Source organism: Homo sapiens, chromosome 11 (genome assembly GCF_000001405.40).
Source record: "Homo sapiens chromosome 11, GRCh38.p14 Primary Assembly".
NCBI lineage: Eukaryota > Metazoa > Chordata > Mammalia > Primates > Hominidae > Homo > Homo sapiens.
The window spans coordinates 17,193,203-17,211,674 of record NC_000011.10 but is presented as its reverse complement, the minus strand read 5'-3'; the positions used below and the strand labels follow the sequence as shown (position 1 = coordinate 17,211,674).

The 18,472-nt window shown below is 44.1% G+C and overlaps 1 protein-coding gene and 1 pseudogene across 6 annotated transcripts in view, besides 8 other annotated features; one reads left to right on the top strand and one right to left on the bottom strand.

Moving 5' to 3' along the window:
- Positions 62-241: an enhancer, noted in NCBI's record as "active region_4486". NCBI's record gives its function as "activates an Ori minimal core promoter by ATAC-STARR-seq in GM12878 lymphoblastoid cells {active_cell/tissue: GM12878}" and the evidence as "EXISTENCE:reporter gene assay evidence [ECO:0000049][PMID:35858748]".
- Positions 3,376-3,898: an enhancer, noted in NCBI's record as "H3K27ac hESC enhancer chr11:17229324-17229846 (GRCh37/hg19 assembly coordinates)". NCBI's record gives its function as "activates a minimal SCP1, AML or CMV promoter by ChIP-STARR-seq in naive and primed H9 embryonic stem cells {active_cell/tissue: H9 hESC(naive and primed)}" and the evidence as "EXISTENCE:reporter gene assay evidence [ECO:0000049][PMID:30033119]".
- Positions 3,541-3,620: a silencer, noted in NCBI's record as "silent region_3182". NCBI's record gives its function as "represses an Ori minimal core promoter by ATAC-STARR-seq in GM12878 lymphoblastoid cells {active_cell/tissue: GM12878}" and the evidence as "EXISTENCE:reporter gene assay evidence [ECO:0000049][PMID:35858748]".
- PIK3C2A (phosphatidylinositol-4-phosphate 3-kinase catalytic subunit type 2 alpha) overlaps positions 3,689-18,472 on the top strand; it is a 121,412-nt gene continuing 106,628 nt past the window's right edge. For 3 of the 6 annotated variants that reach the window (NM_001321380.2, NM_001386870.1, NM_002645.4), the window contains exon 1: positions 3,689-3,827. The gene's annotated coding sequence lies outside the window, so the exon portion shown is untranslated. Of the gene's footprint in view, positions 3,828-7,299; positions 7,369-17,260; positions 17,287-18,472 lie in introns of all 6 variants that reach the window. The other 3 variants (XM_047427128.1, NM_001321378.2, XM_047427127.1) reach the window with 2 other exon arrangements.
- Positions 3,761-3,870: an enhancer, noted in NCBI's record as "active region_4485". NCBI's record gives its function as "activates an Ori minimal core promoter by ATAC-STARR-seq in GM12878 lymphoblastoid cells {active_cell/tissue: GM12878}" and the evidence as "EXISTENCE:reporter gene assay evidence [ECO:0000049][PMID:35858748]".
- Positions 3,899-4,422: an enhancer, noted in NCBI's record as "H3K27ac hESC enhancer chr11:17228800-17229323 (GRCh37/hg19 assembly coordinates)". NCBI's record gives its function as "activates a minimal SCP1, AML or CMV promoter by ChIP-STARR-seq in naive H9 embryonic stem cells {active_cell/tissue: H9 hESC(naive)}" and the evidence as "EXISTENCE:reporter gene assay evidence [ECO:0000049][PMID:30033119]".
- Positions 3,971-4,230: a silencer, noted in NCBI's record as "silent region_3181". NCBI's record gives its function as "represses an Ori minimal core promoter by ATAC-STARR-seq in GM12878 lymphoblastoid cells {active_cell/tissue: GM12878}" and the evidence as "EXISTENCE:reporter gene assay evidence [ECO:0000049][PMID:35858748]".
- Positions 9,264-9,765: an enhancer, noted in NCBI's record as "H3K27ac hESC enhancer chr11:17223457-17223958 (GRCh37/hg19 assembly coordinates)". NCBI's record gives its function as "activates a minimal SCP1, AML or CMV promoter by ChIP-STARR-seq in naive H9 embryonic stem cells {active_cell/tissue: H9 hESC(naive)}" and the evidence as "EXISTENCE:reporter gene assay evidence [ECO:0000049][PMID:30033119]".
- Positions 15,898-16,399: an enhancer, noted in NCBI's record as "H3K27ac hESC enhancer chr11:17216823-17217324 (GRCh37/hg19 assembly coordinates)". NCBI's record gives its function as "activates a minimal SCP1, AML or CMV promoter by ChIP-STARR-seq in naive H9 embryonic stem cells {active_cell/tissue: H9 hESC(naive)}" and the evidence as "EXISTENCE:reporter gene assay evidence [ECO:0000049][PMID:30033119]".
- Positions 17,250-18,231, bottom strand: RPL29P21 (ribosomal protein L29 pseudogene 21; annotated as a pseudogene).

Below are 18,472 nucleotides of genomic sequence, written 5' to 3'. Positions count from 1 at the left end.
CTATAGTACCTAACATGCTTCTGGCCAGGCACAGTGGCTTACACCTATAATCCTAGCACTTTGGGAGGCTAGGTGGGAGGATTGCTTGAGGCCAGGAGTTTGGGACTAGCCTGGGCTACATAGTGACACCCCGTGTCTAGAAAAAAATTTTTTTTTGAATAAAGATACTTCCTTCTTCTTCTCAGTATAACAACAACACTGGCCTCTCAGTTCCTCAGCTGAGCCATGCTCCTTTCTCAGAGCCTTTGCACACACTGTTCCCTCTGCTGGGTATGCTTTCCCCCATCCTCAATTTCTATTTATCCTTTGGATCTCAGCTCAGTGTCACTTTTTCAGGGAAGGCCTTCCTGCCTTCTATTCTAAATCAAAGAACACTGTAGTTTTCCTTCAAACTGCTTACATAATCAGGATTAAATAATTGGGCCCGGTGGCTCATGCCTGTAATCCCAGCACTTTGGGAAGTTGAGATGGGAGGATCGCTTGAGGCCAAGAGTTCCAGACCAGCCTGGTCAATATGGTGAAACTCTGTCTCTACTAAAAGTGCAAAAAATTAGCCAGGTGTGGTGGTGTGCACCTGTAATCCCAGCTACTCTGGAGGTTTGAACCCAGGAGATGGAGGTTGTAGTGAGCAGAGATTGCGCCACTGCACTCTAGCCTAGGCAACAGAGTGAGAGTCTGTCTCAAAAAAACATAAATAAATAAATAAATAGGTAGGTAGTTTGGTATAGTACCCAGCAGAGTCCTTCTACTCAGGTGGGGATATAACATTGAGAAAGGAAATAAAAACCTAACTATTATACTTCTTAACAGCATTTCGTAGATGTTAAAATCTTGGCCCGCTGGCGGAACTGTGAGGTTAAAAAAGCATGGGTTGTGCAGTCAGACCCAGTTTTGGATCCCAGCTCTGCTCTTTAGTAGCTGTGTGACATTGGGCAAGTTACTCTCCTCTCTGTTCCTCAAATTTCTCAGCTATAAAATTAGGATATAATAATTATATCTTTCAGGAAGGTTGTTGGAGGAAGTCAATGAGATAATACTCATAAAACACTAAGAACAGGGCTTGGCCTTAGCAAATGCTAATCATTGTTATCCACTATATTTTATCTGTGGTTAAAAAAAAAAGATTGCCCATTTCTCATGTGGTACTGGAAGAAGCTGGGGAATATTTGTGGTACTGGGAAGTTGTCTGTGGGAAGTTAGGATTGAAACAGTGAAAAATGTAAGGCCTCTGCCTGTAATCCCAGCACTTTGGGAGGCCTAGGCAGGCAGATCACTTGAGGTCGGGAGTTCGAGACCAGCCTGACCAACACGGAGAAACTCTGTCTCTACTAAAAATACAAAAATTAGCTGGGTGTGGTGGCACATGACTGTAATCCCAGCTACTCAGGAGGCTGAGGCAGAAGAATCCCTTGAACCAAGAGAGGCGGAGGTTGTGGTGAGCCGAGAGCACACCATTGCACTCCAGCCTGGGCAACAAGTATGAGACTCTGTCTCAAAAAAAAAAAAAAAAAAAGTGAAGCCAGTGGAAGAAAGGAAACAGGAGAAATGGTTGCCAGCTATGTTCTAGTTGGTTCCAAATGACAGCAGCACCAGTTTGTACTGTCTCCCAGAAGTCTGTGTTCCTACTGTTTACACATGCATCTTCACAAGCCATTGCTGACAGATGAGATATGCTGAGAGAGGGTTACCTGTTCAGATTCTTGACACCTGGCAACTTGTGAAAGCTAATTTTTTTGGAATCTGGAAAACTATCAAACTCCTTTTCTTTCTCTTCACCTTATTGGGAACCTTTTGGTTGATCAGAGCCTACCATGTATCAGTCATTCAAAAGCTATAATAAAATAATGAATTCAGAACTGCAACAAGGAAGTGACTCAAGGACCAGGGCCCTCTGCTGCTGAGACTCAGGGGAAATACGTTTCATTAAAAAAAAAAATTAGAAGAAAAAATCCAGTCTGTCTCGCTGGATCAAAAAAAAAGAAAGGAAGAAAGAGAGAGAGGGAGAGAGGAATAAAGAAAGAGAAAGAAAAAGAAAGAAAGAAAAAGAAAGAAAGAAAGAAAGAAAGAAAGAAAGAAAGAAAACAAAAGAAAAAAAAAAGACAGACAAATAGTTACTCTTTCCTGAAGACTCAGTGTTCTCCCAAGGCCTCTTCCTTCTTTCCTGAAGGCACACTCAGATCTGGAGCAGAAGCTAGGAAGCTACCCTGAGATAAATCACTTTCCCCACCCTTTTTAATCTTGTGAAAGAGCTGCTGCCAATTTTAGAAATTCCTCCTTTGATCAGAAGATAAAGCAGAACAATGCTGCGGAACTAAGTTGATTTCTAAGGGACATTCTTCTAGAGTGTGTAGCCTGCCTGGAAGTGTGTGTGCATAGAGGAGGGGCGGGGTTGGGGGAAAGATAGGAGTTGGAAGGGGGGGGGGTGTACAACAGCCAGTAGCTACAGCCGTAAGAAATAATCACATTTGTTTCTAGAATTCCCCATAGAATAGAAACTCCATCCAATTTTACCATCCCTGCGGAGGTGCAGGCATGTTTATTACAGCGCTATGAGGGATTCATCCACTCCACATTCCCCATTGCCCTAGCCCCCTTTCGCCAACCCCCGTCCCTGCCAAATCAGGCCAATTTCTTTCTTTCCAGTTATTTGCTGAAAGTTCAACTTCTCTTAGAGCCTTCTAATTATGCGTATATCATATAGGCTGATAATTTTTAGTTTAGGCTGAGAAATGCAGCCTAAATCAGTCTGCCACATCAGATTGTGAACGTCTGGATGGTGTGGACCCCCTTCTCCTACTGCTTAAAAGACAATCTTGTTGTAAAACGCTATGGAATCGTTCCTCTCCCCTTAACATCTTTGTGCCCCAGAAGCCCCATCTGTAAATGGGGATAATTTTCCTATATCTTCCCATGGTTACGTAATTTTTAGATCTAACACGTGAGGACCAAACGCTTTACAAGCATAATCTCATTAAATTCTCAATAAGAATATATTATTATGGAGGTTGCATGTGAAAATACTTTGTAATGTAGAAAGAGCCGTCTGGCTGTGAGTTATTATCAGGGGGTTATCTTCCTTACCTGGCTGTTGTGAGGATGAAACGAGACGCCGACCTGAAAGCGTTTTACGTGCTATCAAGCATTTTACAGAAACCACGTGATAGGCTACTAATTACCCACCGTATACCACCTGACCCACCGTGAGGCCTCGGTAAATACTGGTTGGAGTGGACGAGTTTAAGTCTTGCCTGTTCCTTTCAGTCTTCCAATCACAAAGTAATCTCGGCGCCGCCAGGGGCCAAGACACAAATCTGGGAACCTCAGCCTAGATGGAGGAGGGTGCGGGGTCCCGGGAGAGGGGATGAGAACAATAGGGTACTTCAGTGCCCGGGCCCTGTTTAGCGGGTCTTCGGACTCAGGGCCCGAGGGGCGGCCAGCTGGGGTGTCCGGAGAGCTCCCCTCCCCAGGTCTGGGGTGTGCACGGAGAGGCGTCCAGAGCCTGCTCAGCATTCCTCGGGAGAGAGCCAGACCCTGGTCCCCCGGGCCCGTGCGCCCCAGCGCCCCAGCTCCCTTGCTCACGCCACCCCGGCAGCGTCCAAGCCCCGCCCGCCAGCTCAGGTAGGCCGTCCGCGCCAGCCAATTCGCAACAAGTCCGGGCGGGGAAGGCGGTGCTTCCCTGTCCGGAAGTGACGTGCTGCGCTTGGCTGGCTGTGGAGTCGGCCGAAGCTTTCGGCGGCGGCTGAGCCAGCTGAGGGGAAAAATGGCTCGGACTGTGGCGGCTTCGGCGGCTCAGGTTGTGGTAGAGGCGGAGGCTCAGGCAGCTTGAGGTGAGGAGCGGTCGGTGCGGCTGGGGACGATATTCGGGGTCCTGCTCTGCAAGGGTGGAGAGGGGCCCCGGGGTTCCCGGGCTGGAAGGGTCTCTTGTCGCGGCCCCCAGTGCCTTGGGTGCCCGCGTCTGACCCTCCATCCCGTGCTCTTGGCGTTGCCCAGCCCGACTCCCCCCTCCCTCCGGGCCTTGCTTCCACCCAGGCCGTGAGCAAGTGCTGCGCTGGAGGTGCGAGGAGCCCGCGTCCCCACCAGGCCCCTCTTCTCGGGAGCGGAGGTGCGCCAGGGAGTTAGTTTTGTCCCACAGAAGGAGGGCAGGCCCCCCGGCCGCCGGCCCCCCTCCCCCGCCTTGTCCCGCGGGACCGGGCTGGAGCCGCAGTGGCCGGTCCTATTTTCTTGGCAGATTGTTAGTTCTGGCGAGTGTGTGTGTTGTACTTCTCAGTGACGGCCCCTTCTTTCACCTCCTGTCCCATCTCTGGCTCTGGGGGCCAAGGATACTTTTTCTTCTTCCCGGACCCCCCACTCCCACCGCGTTGCCTTTAGCCGCGAATCCACTTGCTTTGGGAACACTATTCTTTCAGTGTGTATTTAGCGCATCATCCTTCTGAGAGAGCGGTCAGATTAAAAAATACTAGCTTAACTCTTCCTGAGTGACGGAGGAATCATAAATAATTGAAGAAAAAGGCACATACTTATTTTCCTCACTGAATTTCTGGCTTTAAAAACGACATTCTCTAGCTGTGGAATTATTTTTTGGGGGAGGAGGGATTGAGGAGGGAAATGAGGAAGGAGAAACTAAGGAAAAAAGTCTGGACATAACGTGGAAGAGAGAGCCTGTTGTAGTTCTTTTCCTATACTGGCCCGATAGAAATTGAGGTTATAATTATATTCTTATTTTGAACAGTGGGGGTTTGAATTAAGTGAAACGAAGGAGGCCTGCCTCTTTGAACAAGATTAGTTATTAAAGAATGTCCTGAAATCTTTCCTGGTGGGTTTCAGGCAGAAAAGCTCTGTTGGGAAAATTTTTAAATCTATTGTAGCATCAAAGGCCACAGCATATAAGAGATGCAAGAAGAAGAAAGCTGTTTGTAGGGGAACGGTGAAGACATAGTAGAAAGAGGGAAGGCTGCACAGAAGTCCAGGAACTAATTCCAGGAGAGACTTTGTACCTTTGCCTCCTTGGCTTGTGGTTCAAGTCTCCACAAGAGACTCCTTTAGCAGCTCTGCCATAGTTGGGGTTGGTGCTCTTTTTTTTTTTTTTAATTGACATGGGGTCTCACTGTGTCGCCCAGGCTGGTCTACCATGCCCAGCAGAATGGTGCTTTTTTTTTTTTTAAATTTGATCTAACCTTATCTGGACAGGATGGTGCTCTTATTCACAGCAGCAAATTAGACGAAAGGACCCTAGTTGAAGTATACAGATTTTATTTTTATATAAGATATTTGTTTAGTATCAAGACAGTGGTTACATACTGAAAAACAATGTAACTGGGAATAGAGAGATTTTATTTGTTAACTCAGATTTAGTTCAAAAGTGATTTTACGTAGGTAGAAAGCACATATGGAGTTTCTTCCATAAATTCCGTAATTTTGGCTGAATTAATACATTCTAAAGTAGGTTTTTTCTTATCAAAGTGTCTTGCTATTTGTGTTTTATATGCGTGTTTCCTGCAGTTTTCTTTGCAAATAACATGTTTTAATGTTTTCATCACAGGTTTTACAATTTTTTTCTGTTTGAATCTCGCTCTGTCGCCTAGGCTGGAGTGCAGTGGCACGAGAGCTCACTGCAACCTCCACCTCCAGGGTTCAAGTGATTCTCCTGCCTCAGCCTCCTGAGTAGCTGGAATTACAGGCACGCGCCACCACACATGGCTCATTTTTGTGTTTTTTCAATAGAGACTGGTTTACACTATGTTGACCAGGCTAGTCTCGAACTCCTGACCTCAAGTGATCTGCCCGTCTTGGCCTCCCAAAGTGCTGGGATTAAAGACTTGAGCCACTGCACCTGGCAGTTTTTTCTGTTTTATAGAATACAAAAGCTGGCATGTTTGCATTGAGGAATTTTAGAAACTAACTTTTTGTAATGAATAACTGTATACTAAGTTTGTTTCTTCTGCAATTAATAGTTCTAAAATTTTCAATTAATTGAAGATTGCTTGCATTAATTCCCATGTCCAGGACTCTTTCTGTAGCACAAAGTTTTGCATTTAAGTAAGCACATTCAATAAGTGAACTTATACCTAAAGAGTGTTGAATTTCCTGAGAACTCAGAGTTCTTATAGAGCATCAGAGCAGCAGTAGTGCAAAGCATTTTTTGTAACTTGTTTTTCTTTGATAACATGAATTATTCTTTTTTTTTTTTTTTTTTTTTTTTTTGAGATGGAGTCTCACTCTGTTGACGAGGCTGGAGTGCAGTGGCACGATCTTGGCTCACTGCAACCTCCACCTGCCGGGTTCAAGTGACTCTCCTGCCTCAGCCTCCCGAGGAGCTGGGACTACAGGCGTGTGCCGCTATGCCCAGCTAATTTTTGTATTTTTAGTAGAGACGGGGTTTCACCATGTTGGTTGGCCAGGATGGTCTTGAGCTCTTGGCCTTGTGATCTGCCCACCTCGGCCTCCCAAAGTGCTGGGATTACAGGCTTGAGCTACCCTGCCCGGCTCTTTTTTTCTTTTTTGAGACAGTCTCACTCCGTCACCCAGGCTGGAGTGCAGTGGCGTGATCTCAGCTCACTGAAACTTTTGCCTTCTGGGTTCAAGCAATCCTCCTGCCTCAGCCTCCCAAGTAGCTGGGATTACAGGTGCACACCACCACACCCACCTAAGTTTTGTATTTTGGTAGAGACGGGGTTTCACCATGTTGGTCAAGCTGGTCTTGAACTCCTGACCTCAAGTGATCCGCCCGCCTCGCCCTCCCAAAGTACTGGGATTACAGGTGTGAGCCACTGCGCCTGGCCTATGCATTGTATTAATTTAGCATATTCCAAAAATAATTTAAGACAGGCAAATGATAAATGTGGATGTTTCTGGTGGTGCATCACATTGTAGGTGATTTCATTTTAGTAGTTGTACCTGCATAGGGCTAAAAATTAACCCTCTCAAAGCTCTGAGAGTGCCGGAGGGCCTGAAAGAGTGCCTGGTACTTCAAAGGTTCCCAGGGATAAGAAAAATGAATGAGACAGTGCTTGCTCTCAAGAATTTCTCATCCATTTGGAAGACAACGTACATTTTATAACAGTATAATTATAAGGGCAGGCTAAATAGGATATGGTCACCTGGGCTGGGAGATGGAAAAGGAATGAGGGGGTTTGAGGAGGAAGAGGATGCTCAAGTTGAGTCTTAAATGATTAATTCCTTCTATTCATAAGGGCAGGATGGATAAACGTGATCAGGTTCTAGGCCCTGCTCTGCTTCTATCAAGCGGTGAGATATTGAGCAAACTGCTTAATACTTCTGGTATCCATTTTCCTTATTCAGGATTCGACTACATATATAAAGCAGTGCTGTACATGAGAAATATGTGAGCCAAAAATGGGAGTCACATAGGTAGGAGATTTTACATTATTTTTTTCCCCTAAATCTTTTAAATCTGGTGTATGTTACACTTGGTACATCTCAATTTGGAACAGCCACATTTCAGGCACTTAATAGCTCCATGTAACTAGTAACTGCCATATTGGACAGTATAGATCTAGAGGCTGGGTGCATTAATGCATGCCCATAGTCCAGTGCTTTGGAGGATCGAGGCAGGAGGATCTCTCTTTTTTTTTTTTTTCTTTGAGACGGAGTCTCGCTCTGTCGCCAAGGCTGGAGTGCAGTGGCGTGATCTCCGCTCACTGCAAGCTCCGCCTCCCAGGTTCACACCAGTCTCCTGCCTCAGCCTCCCGAGTAGCTGGGACTACAGGCGCCCGCCACCACGCCCAGCTAATTTTTTATATTATTTTAGTAGAGACAGGGTTTCACGGTGTTAGCCAGGATGGTCTCAATCTCCTGACCTTGTGATCTGCCCGCCTCGGCCTCCCAAAGTGCTGGGATTACAGGCGTGAGCCACTGTACCCTGCCAGCAGGAGGATCTCTTGAGCCTAGGAGTTTGAGGCTGCAGTGAGCTATGATCACCACTGCACTCCAGCTTGGGTAACAGAGTGAGACACTGTCTCAAAAAACAACCACCACCACAAAAAAGATCTAGAGGCTATTCTGTCTTGGTTCTCTGCTTGAAAAAGGAAAAGGGACTCCAATGAGAAAATTATCACTGGTAATTTATAATTTGTAATCATTTTGATGGTACTCATATATGATGTTCTTTTGATGAGAATTATGGTCATACTTGCAAATATTGCTGTAAGTATCTTTCAGGTTGTTCATAGGATTATGGTTGGGATGAGAAGAAATGTCTTTGTTTTCTCTGCATCTGTAGTGGAGTCATATTTTTGTTATCTTTATTTTGTTCATTTATGTATACTTTGTATCCTTTTTTTCTACAGTATGTTATTTCTTTTTTTCTTTCTTCTTTTTTTTTTCTAATAGAGATGGTGTCTCACTATGTTGACCAGGCTGGTCTTGAACTCCTGGCCTCAAGCGATCCTCCCATCTTGGCCTCCCAAACTGCTGGGATTACAGGCATGAGCCACTGCACTCGGCCTGCAGTCTGTTTTTCTAATGTAATGGATTTAAAACACAATGAGAGTGCATATGGACATTTTAGAAAGTTAAAAGGAGAATTTATACAATTTTAAACTAATTCTTGGATTTCTTAAAATTTTAAACTTAGCTATTTGGGTACAAAAACAAATGGGATTTATAAATCCTCTTTTAATAGATTTGAAGGCAGTTATTGTTGGCTTAGCAACAAGTATTTATCTTTTAACCTTGAGACTGCATTAAGATAGTGTATAATTAACATGCTTACTGTTAAACATAAGGCTTTCTGTTAGTATTACAGTATAACAGTTACATTATTGATATGACTGATGTGCAATGTTGGTGCACTTAATTTGCTGTGCACTGAGCTTGGTTAAAAAACACTAGTGGCTAATTTTAGACAAGATAGCTATGACTGACAATAATACATCTTTACACTTGGATTGACTGATGGTTATAGCTTAGCTAACACTGTTTTCCCTCCAAGACCTTATTACCTGTGAGGTAAATACAGCAAGTATTCTGATTTTGCTGAGGCCCAAAGATGTTGTGACTTACTTAGCATAATAAATTAGAAGCATTGCTTGAATTCAGGTCTTAACAATGCTAGGCCCAGTGTTCTGTTCTTTTTTTTTTTTGAGGGAGGTTCTCTCTGTGTCGCTCAGGCTGGAGTGCAGTGGCTCCATCTCAGCCTACTGCAACCTCTGCCTCCCACACTTGGGTGATTCTCCCACCTTAGCCACCCAAGTAGCTGGGACTACAAGCACGTGCCATCACGCCTGGCTAATTTTTGTGTTTTTTGTAGAGGAGGGGTTTTGCCACATTGTCCAGGCTGGTCTTGAACCCCTGGGCCCACCTTGGCCTCCTAAAGCGCTGAGATTACAGGCATAAGCCACCACGTCCACCCCAGTATTCTTTTCTTTTCTTCCTTCTTTCTTTTTTTTTTTTTTTTCTGGAGATGAAGTCTCACTCTTGTCGCCCAGGCTGGAGTACAATGGCGCAATCTCAGCTCACTGCAACCTCCGCCTCCTGGGTTCAAGTGATTCTCTTGCCTCAGCCTCCCGAGTAGCTGGGATTACAGGTGCATGCCACCATGCCCGGATAATTTTTGTATTTTTGGTAGAGATGGGGTTTCACCATTTTGGCCAGGCTGGTCTTGAACTCCTGACCTAAGGCGATCTGCCCGCCTCTGCCTCCCAAAGTGCTGGGATTACAGGTGTGGGCCACCGCCCCGGGCCCCAGTATTCTTTTCATTGAATCTCTTCATATGGCATTTGAGTGTTTAGATACATAGTACAAACCAGATTTTTGGAGTGTATAAAGAAATAGTTACTTCCTGCCTTTGGGAAGTTTATATTCCAACTAGGAGAGACCAACTAACTACAATCCATGTAGCAAAAAGTACTTCAGTTATTTAAAAAAATTTGTTACGGGAAAGAAAAGATGTAAGGGATAATATAGTCAAATGGAAAATAGATAAGAGTTAATTAGACAAGATTTTTGAGTAAAGAGTTTAGATTGTAAATCCTTACTATAGGAAGAAGAAGATGATGAGGTGTTAAGGATAGTGTTATTTCAATGCACAGAGAACAACTTAAGGGAAAACTTAGCTAAGGGAACATAAAACGTAGGTTTAGGGAAAGCTTTTCTTTTTTTTTTTCTTTTTTCTTTTTTTTTTTTTTTTTTGAGACGGAGTCACGTTCTTTCACCAGGCTGTAGTGCAGTGGTGCGATCTTGGCTCACTGCAACCTCTGCCTCCCAGGCTCAAGTGATTCTCCTGCCTCAGCTTCTCAAGTAGCTGGGATTACAGGCACACGTCACCACGCCCGGCTAATTTTTGTATTTTTAGTAGAGATGGGGTTTCACCATGTTGGCCAGGATGGTCTCAATCTTTTGACCTCATGATCTGCCTGCCTCGGCCTCCTGAAGTGCTGGGATGACAGGCATGAGCCACCACACCAGGCCTAGGGAGGGGTTTTCAAGGCTTATTTTTTATTTTTATTTTTTAGATAGAATATCGCTCTGTAACCCAGGCTGGAGTGCAGTGGCACGATCTTGGCTCACTGCAACCTCCGCCTCACAGGTTCAAGCGATTTTCCTGTCTCAGCTTCCTGAGTAGCTGGGATTACAGGCGTCTGCCACCACATCTGGCTAATTTTTGGGTTTTTAGTAGAGACGGGATTTCACCATGTTGGCCAGGCTGGTCTTGAACTCCTGACCTGAAGTGATCCGCCCACATCTGCCTCCTAAAGTGCTGGGATTACAGGCATGAGCCACCGTGCCCGGCTTGAATCGCCTAGTTTCATCTGACTAGATCTCATAATGACATTTATCAGGCTAGAATTCTGTGTGTATTGAAATGTATGACATGATACTACCATTGTTAAGGATTCTTTTTGAAAAGTCATACTTATTAAGGTATAATTTACACTTAGTAAAATTCATCTGTTTTAGGTGTAAAGTTCTGTATAGTTCTGCTAAAACAGATGAATTACAAAAAACAGTGACAGTTGTGTAACTGCCACCACCACAATTAAGATACAAGATATAGAATATTTCCATCACTCCAAAAATTTCCATAATTATGCCCTTTTGAAGTAAATCCCTTCAGCCCACCCCTCACTCCCTGGCAACAGCTCATTTGTTTTTTATCCCTATAGTTTGGCCTTTCCCAAAATGCCATATAAATTGGCATCACACAGTGTATATAGCCTTTTGAGACTGGCTTCTTTCATTTAGCATAACACTTTTGAGATTCAATAACATGTCTCTTTTTTATTAATAAACTTTTTTAGAAAGTTTATAGAAAAATCATGAAGTTACCAATTTACAGAAAATTTGTAATTGTAGTACAGAGAAATCCCTTAAACCCTGCACCTAGTTTCCCCTATGTTTAAATTTATGTAAACTACTAATTTTTGCTAATGGTCAAACCTGCAAGGTTCTAGAATTAAGTTTGTTGAAAATGGGAAACAATATGAAGATTTCGATCAAGACGATGACTTTCTAATGCCTTTTTTTTTTTTGAAATGCAGTCTCGCTCTGTCGCCCAGGCTGGAGTGCAGTGGCGCGATCTCAGCTCACTGCAACTTCCTCCTCCTGGGTTCAAGCGATTCTCGTGCCTCATCCTCCTGAGTAGCTGGGATTACAGGCACGCACCACTATGCCCAGCTAATTTTTGTATTTTTGTATTTTTTGTATTTTTTACCATCCCAAACAAACTCTGTAGCTGTTAAGCAGTGACTGTTCATTCTCTTCTCAACCCAGCCCCTGGTAACCACTAATCTACTTTTTTTTTTTTTTTTTTTGAGATGGAGGCTGGAATGTAGTGGCACGATCTCAGCTCACTGCAACCTCTGCCTCCCAGGTTCAAGCAATTCTGCCTCAGCCTCCCGAGTAGCTGGGACTACAGGCATGTACCACCACGCCCAGCTAATTTTTGTATTTTTAATAGAGACAGGGTTTCACCATGTTGGCCAGGATGGTCTTGATCCACCTGCCTTGGCCTCCCAAAGTGTTGGGATTACAGGCGTGAGCCCCTGTGCCCAGCCTCTACTTTTTGTCTCTGTGAATTTACCTATTCTAGATCTTTCGTGTGATTGGAATCGTGTAATATTTAGCCTTTTGTGTCTGACTTATGTCACTTAGCGTAATGTTTTCAAGGTTCATACATGTTGTAGAATGTATCATTTTTATGGCTGAATCATATTTAATGTACCACATTTTGTATATTAATTCATTGATGGATACTGCATTTGTTTTCACCTTTTGGCTATTATAAACAATGCTGCTATGAGTATTAGTGTACTCCTATTTTCAGTTCTTTTGGGTATATATCTAGGAGTGGAATTGCTGGGTTGTTGTAATTCCATATTTAATTTTTTGAAGAAACACTAAAGTGTTTTCCAAAGTGGCTGTACCATTTTACATTCCCTTAGCAGCAAAGTATCAGGGTTCCACTTTTTCTACACCCTTGCCACCACTTGTTGTTTTCCTTTTTTCCAGTTATAGCCATTCTAGTAGGTTGACTAGTGATATTGAGTATCTTTTCATGTCCTTATTGATAATAAGTTGGCTTTTTTTTTTTTTTCTTGAGACGGTGTCTCACTCTGTTGCCCAGGCTGGAGTGCAATGGCATGATCTCAGCTCACTGCAACCTCTGCCTCCCAGGTTCAAGTGATTCTCTTGTCTCATCCTCCCAAGTAGCTGGGATTACAGGTGCCTGTCAGCACGCGTGGCTAATTTTTGTATTTTTGGTAGAGACAGTGTTTCACCACGTTGGCCAGGCTGGTCTCGAATTGCTGACCTCAAGTGATCCACCCACCTCGGCCTCCCAAAGTGCTGGGATTATAGATGTAAGCCACTGCGCCCAGACTAAGGTGGCTTTTTTTTTTTGTTTTGTTTTGTTTTTTATGAGGTCTTGCTGTGTTGTCCAGGCTGGGATACAATGGCTATTCGCAGAGACAATCGTAATGCAGTATAGCCTTGACCTGATAGGCTCAAAGGATCCTTCTGCCTCAGCCTCCAGAGTAGGTGGGAGTACAGATGCATGCCACTGTGCACAGTTAATGGTAGCAACATACTGATGCTTGTTTCAACAATGGTCAAGGCAGGGTGATGTTAACATTTTTTAAAAGGAAAAATAATTGGATGGAAACGTATTTTAAAATCGCTATTATATGCTAAGCATTTTATTATATAATTTTATTTAACTCTGAAAACACAGTATTATCTGTGTTTTACAGATGAGAAAACTAAAGACAAAGGGAGATCAAGTAACTTACTTTAAAAATCACACAGTTGGCCTGGCAGTGTGGCTGATGCCTGTAATCCCAGCACTTTGGGAGGCTGAGGTGGGTGGATCACCTGAGGTCAGGAGTTCGAGACCAGCCTGGCCAACATGGTGAAACCCTGTCTCTACTAAAAATACAAAAATCAGCCGGGTGTGGTGGCGGGCACCTGTAATCCTGGCTACTTGGGAGGCTGAGTTAGGAGAATCGGCTTGAACCTGGGAGGTGGAGGTTGCAATGAGCGGAGACTGTGCCACTGTACTCCAGCCTGGGAGACAGAGCAAGACTCCATCTCAAAAAAAAAAAAAATCACACAGTTTATAAGAGGGAAGTCTGATATTTGCTTGCTGCTACATGGTTCTTTCTCCTGCTATCACTGTTATATAAAACTATGAATTTAATCCACATGTTGATGTCATGTGAAAGTAAGACTTTTTTAGTCATAGAAATTGATGGAGTTTGGGGGAAAATTCCAGAAGTAGTCATGTCAGTTTTTCGTTATTTTTTATTATTCACTATTCAGGGTTTCTCAGTTGCAACTCAGTTTTATCTTTTTTCTACCTTAAGCCATGTTAAATGCAGGTATATACCATAACATTTAACACAGAAGCTTTACTGTTATCTGTCATGTTGGAATTGGGGTGATGTCAAAGTTTATTTAATGATTCATGTCAAGTGAATGAACAATGAAGTAGATCAAAGTTCAGTAATTATCTCCACAAAGCAGTACTACTGTTGGGATTCTGAGTTAGATTGAAAACTTCTTGGTCAGCAAAATGTCTTTCAATAGGGATCTCTTGCTGTGACTATATCCCCTTTCCTTGTCCCCCTCCCACATACATACAGTGATACACATATGCAGACATAGAAAATTATCATGGTTAGATACCCTGGTTGTGAATCACTTATGTGTAGAATGTTGCTCCTAAGGGCTGAAGACTACTAGTCTTCAGGAATAATGACTACTAGTGGATATTAAGCTATGGTGCAACCATTGCCTTTTGTCAAAATAGAATTAAGGCCTTTATTAATGTGCTTATAGTAGTTGTGCAGTGGATAATCGTTTTAATAGAGTAATATGGAGGCTAAAGAATGGAGTGGGGGCCAGGTGCGGTGGCTCATGCCTGTAGTCCCAGCACTTTGGGAAGCTGAGGTGGGTGGATCTCTTGTGCCCAGAAGTTCAAGACCAGCATGGGCAACATGGTGAAACCGCATCTCTACTAAAAATAAAAAATTAGCCAGGCATGGTGGTGCTCGCCTATAATCCCAGCTACTCAGGAGGCTGAGGCGGGAGGATCGCTTGAGCTGGAAGGTGGAGGTTGCAGTGAGCCTCCTGACCTTGTGATCCTCCCACCTCAGCCTCCCAAAGTGCGGGGATTATAGGTGTGAGGCCCCGTGCCTGGCCAGGCTCACCTATTTTTAAACTTGTGACGAAGCTTGGGAAGACTCTCCTCTTCACTTTTCCCATGGCTCACTCTTTTTTATGTCCAGGTTGTGGCTCCAATTTTTTTTTCCCTGACTACCCTATTGAAAATTGTATCCTTGCCGGGCACGGTGGCTCACGCCTCTCACGCCTGTAATCCCAGCACTTTGGGAGGCCAAGGTGGGCGGATCACGAGGTCAGGAGATCGAGACCATCCTGGCTAACACGGTGAAACCCCATCTCTACTAAAAATACAGAAAAATTAGTCAAGCGTGGTGGCCGGTACCTGTAGTCCCAGCTACTCGGGAGGCTGAGGCAGGAGAATGGCGTGAACCCGGGAGGCGGAGCTTGCAGTGAGCGGAGATCGAGCCACTGCACTCCAGGCTGGGTGACAGAGCAAGACTCCGTCTCAAAAAAAAATAATAATAATAGTATCCTCCCCAACTAAATCATTCTCTCTCACATTACTGTTCTTTTCTCCTATTTCATTTACTGTCTGTATGTACCATTTTGTTTACTTGTTTGAATCAAACCACTTCTTAACATTTCCATTGCTGTTATCCTAGTCCAAGTCATTATTCTAGACTTTTTCAGCTACCTGTTAATTGGTCTCCCAGTTTCCATTTTTGTTTGTTATGCCTATTTTCCACAGAACAATAGGGATCTTGAGCAATGTAAATCAGATCACATGACTGTGTCTGCCTGAAATTCACCCTGGGCTTCCTATTATACCTAAAATTCAGTATAGTATCCCCCATCTTGGAGGTATATCAAATTTAATAATTAAAAAAGTTTTTATTGATAGATGGAGATTTTAAGATTTTTTTGGAGAGATTTCTGATTTTTGATAGTTGAGCTTAGTGATTTAACTTGTTTCTGATTTTTTTTTGTTTCTTTTCTTAATCCACAATGTGATAGTATGTTTCTTTTCTTTTTTCTTTTCTTTTCTTTTTTTCTTTCGAGATGAAGTCTCGCTCTGTTGCCCAGGCTGGAGTGCAGTGGCACTATCTCGGCTCACTGCAAGCTCTGCCTCCCTGGTTCATGCCATTCTCCTGCCTCAGCCTCCCAAGTAGCTGGGACTGCAGGCGCCTGCCACCATGCCTGGCTAATTTTTTGTATTTTTATTCAAGATGGGGTTTCACCATGTTAGCCAGGATGGTCTCAAACCCCTGACCTCGTGATCCACCTGCCTTGGCCTCCCAAAGTGCTGGGATTACAGGCGTGAGCCAGCGCGCGGGGCTCCTTTTTTTTTTTTTGCAATAGAGTCTTGCTCTGTCTCCCAGGCTGGAGTGCAGTGGCATGATATTGGCTCACTGCAACCTCCGCCTCCTGGGTTCAAGCAATCCTCCTGCCTCAGTCTCCTAAGTAGCTGGGACGACGACAGCAACAACGACTGCTATGTGGTGCACTCCACCATGCCTGGTCAATTTTTGTATTTTTTGGTAGAGATGGAGTTTCACCATGTTGGCCAGACTGGTTTTGAACTCTTGACCTCAAGTGATCTGCCTGCCCTGGCCTCCCAAAGTGCTGGGTTTGCTGGCATGAGCCACTGCACCTGGCCATGTTTCTAATTTTTTTTTTTTCTTTGAGACAGAATCTTCCTCTTTCACCAGGTTGGAATGCAGTGGCGCCATCTCGGCTCACTGCAACCTCTGCCTCCCGGATTCCAGCGATTCTCCTGCCTCAGCCTCCTGAGTAGCTGGGATTACAGGCGCCTGCCACCATGCCCAGCTAATTTTTGTATTTTTAGTAGAGACAGGGTTTCACCAAGTTGGCCGGGATGGTTTTGATCTCTTAACCTCGTGATCCACCTGCCTCGGCCTCCCAAAGTGCTGGGATTATGAGTATGAGCCACCACACCCGGCCCCCTATATTTCTAATTTTTATAAAAAAATACATCACAAGAAATCCACAGGGTAAAATTAAGTTAGATTCGAATGAGGAAGTTTCATTGTGTCATACCCTCAACTTGGAAATGTGACTGCATACTTAACGTAACAAAATTTGGAGAAAAGAATTAAACTTTACAAGTTAAATTTAATATTATAGAAATCTAAGAGTTAGAATTAATCTTTTTTTTTTTTTCTTCGAGATGGAGTTTCGTTCTTGTTGCCCAGGCTGGAGTGCAATGTCGCAGTCTCGGCTCACTGCATCCTCTGCCTCCTGGGTTCAAGCAATCCTCCTGCCTCAGACTCCCGAGTAGCTGGGATAACAGGCATGTGCCACCATGCCCAGCTAATTTTGTATTTTTAGTAGAGGTGGAGTTTCACCATGTTGGTGAGGCTGGTCTTGAACTTCTGACCTCAGGTGATCCACCTGCTTTGGCCTCTCAAAGTGCTGGGATTACAGGCATGAGCCACTGCGCCAGGCTAGAATGAATCTTATCATCCAATGTCTAACAACTTTATGTACTTGAGAAATTGAAGCTCAGAGAGGTGAAGTGCTTTATTCAAGTTGAAATAGCTAATTAATAATAATAGGGATGGGGCAGAAACTCAGTTTTTCTTTTCTTCTAATTCAAAGTCCTCATTTGTTAGTTTGTGATGCCTGTATTTAGCAATTTCTTTTTTCTTTCCTGCCTCAGGTTTATTTGTACAAATAGCACAGGAGGTGAGGACCCCAGCCCCATGCAGACGGCAGCCTGGGCAGGTTGCACCAGTCCTTGTGTCCTCACGTTGGCAGGCAGATACCTACTCTGAAGCCTTTGTAGGAGCCTGAGCACCTTTGCGAACCTGAGCTGGAACTGAAGCTGGAGTTGCAGCCTGGGCCTTGGTTTGATCCTTGTCCTTGTCGTTTGGCCGGCACAACCCAAGCCCCTTGGCAATGCGGGCACAAGCACGCTTCCCAAGCTTGGGGTGGGCAATGTAGGCAAGTCGATGGAGCTTGCTGCTGACACCCTTTGGGATCTTGGGCTTAACCTCCTTTACAAGGGCCTTCATAGCCTCACCACGTGGACTGATGGCCTGCCAAAGCCTGCATCTTCTTTAGGCCCTTCTTGTTTTGCTTCTTGGCAATGCACATGTTCCTCAGGAATTTGGGGTCCACCCCCTTGAGAGAGTCATATCTTTGTGATCGGGGTTTCTTTTCTTTTCTTTTCTTTTCTTTTCTTTTCTTTTCTTTTCTTTTCTTTTCTTTTCTTTTCTTTTCTTTTTTTGAGACAGAGTCTCGCTCTGTTGCCAGGCTGGAGCGCAGTGGTGCGATCTCGGCTCACTGCAGCCTCCGCCTTCTGATTTCAAGCAATTCTCCTGCCGCAGCCTCCCGAGTAGCTGGGACTACAGACGCGCGCCATCATGCCCCGCTAATTTTTATATTTTTAGTAGAGATGGGGTTTCACCATGTTGGCCAGGTTGGTCTCGATCTCTTGACCTCGTGATCCACCCGCCTTGGCCTCCCAAAGTGCTGGGATTACGGGCGTAAGCCACCACACCTGGCTTGATCGCAGTTTCTTAATACCATTTCTGTGCCATTTTCGGGAATGTTGTGTGTGGTGTGGTTCTTGGACTTGGCCATGTCTGCACCCTAAGCCATGGCTCCTGAAGCACCTAGAACCGGAAGCTATATTCAGCAATTTTTAAGTTGAATTTCTGTTAATACCTTTAGATTTAAGAATATTTTTTAAATATAAAACTTAGTGGGATAACAAAGCCGATTTCTAAGGAAATATTCTTCAGGGAATTTCAGTTTCTAACTGCGGCGGAAAAATCTCTTATTTCAGGATAGTTTTTATTGGAAGAATGTCTTAGTTCATTTTCTGCTGCTGTAACAATACCACAGATTGATACTTTATAAAGAAAAT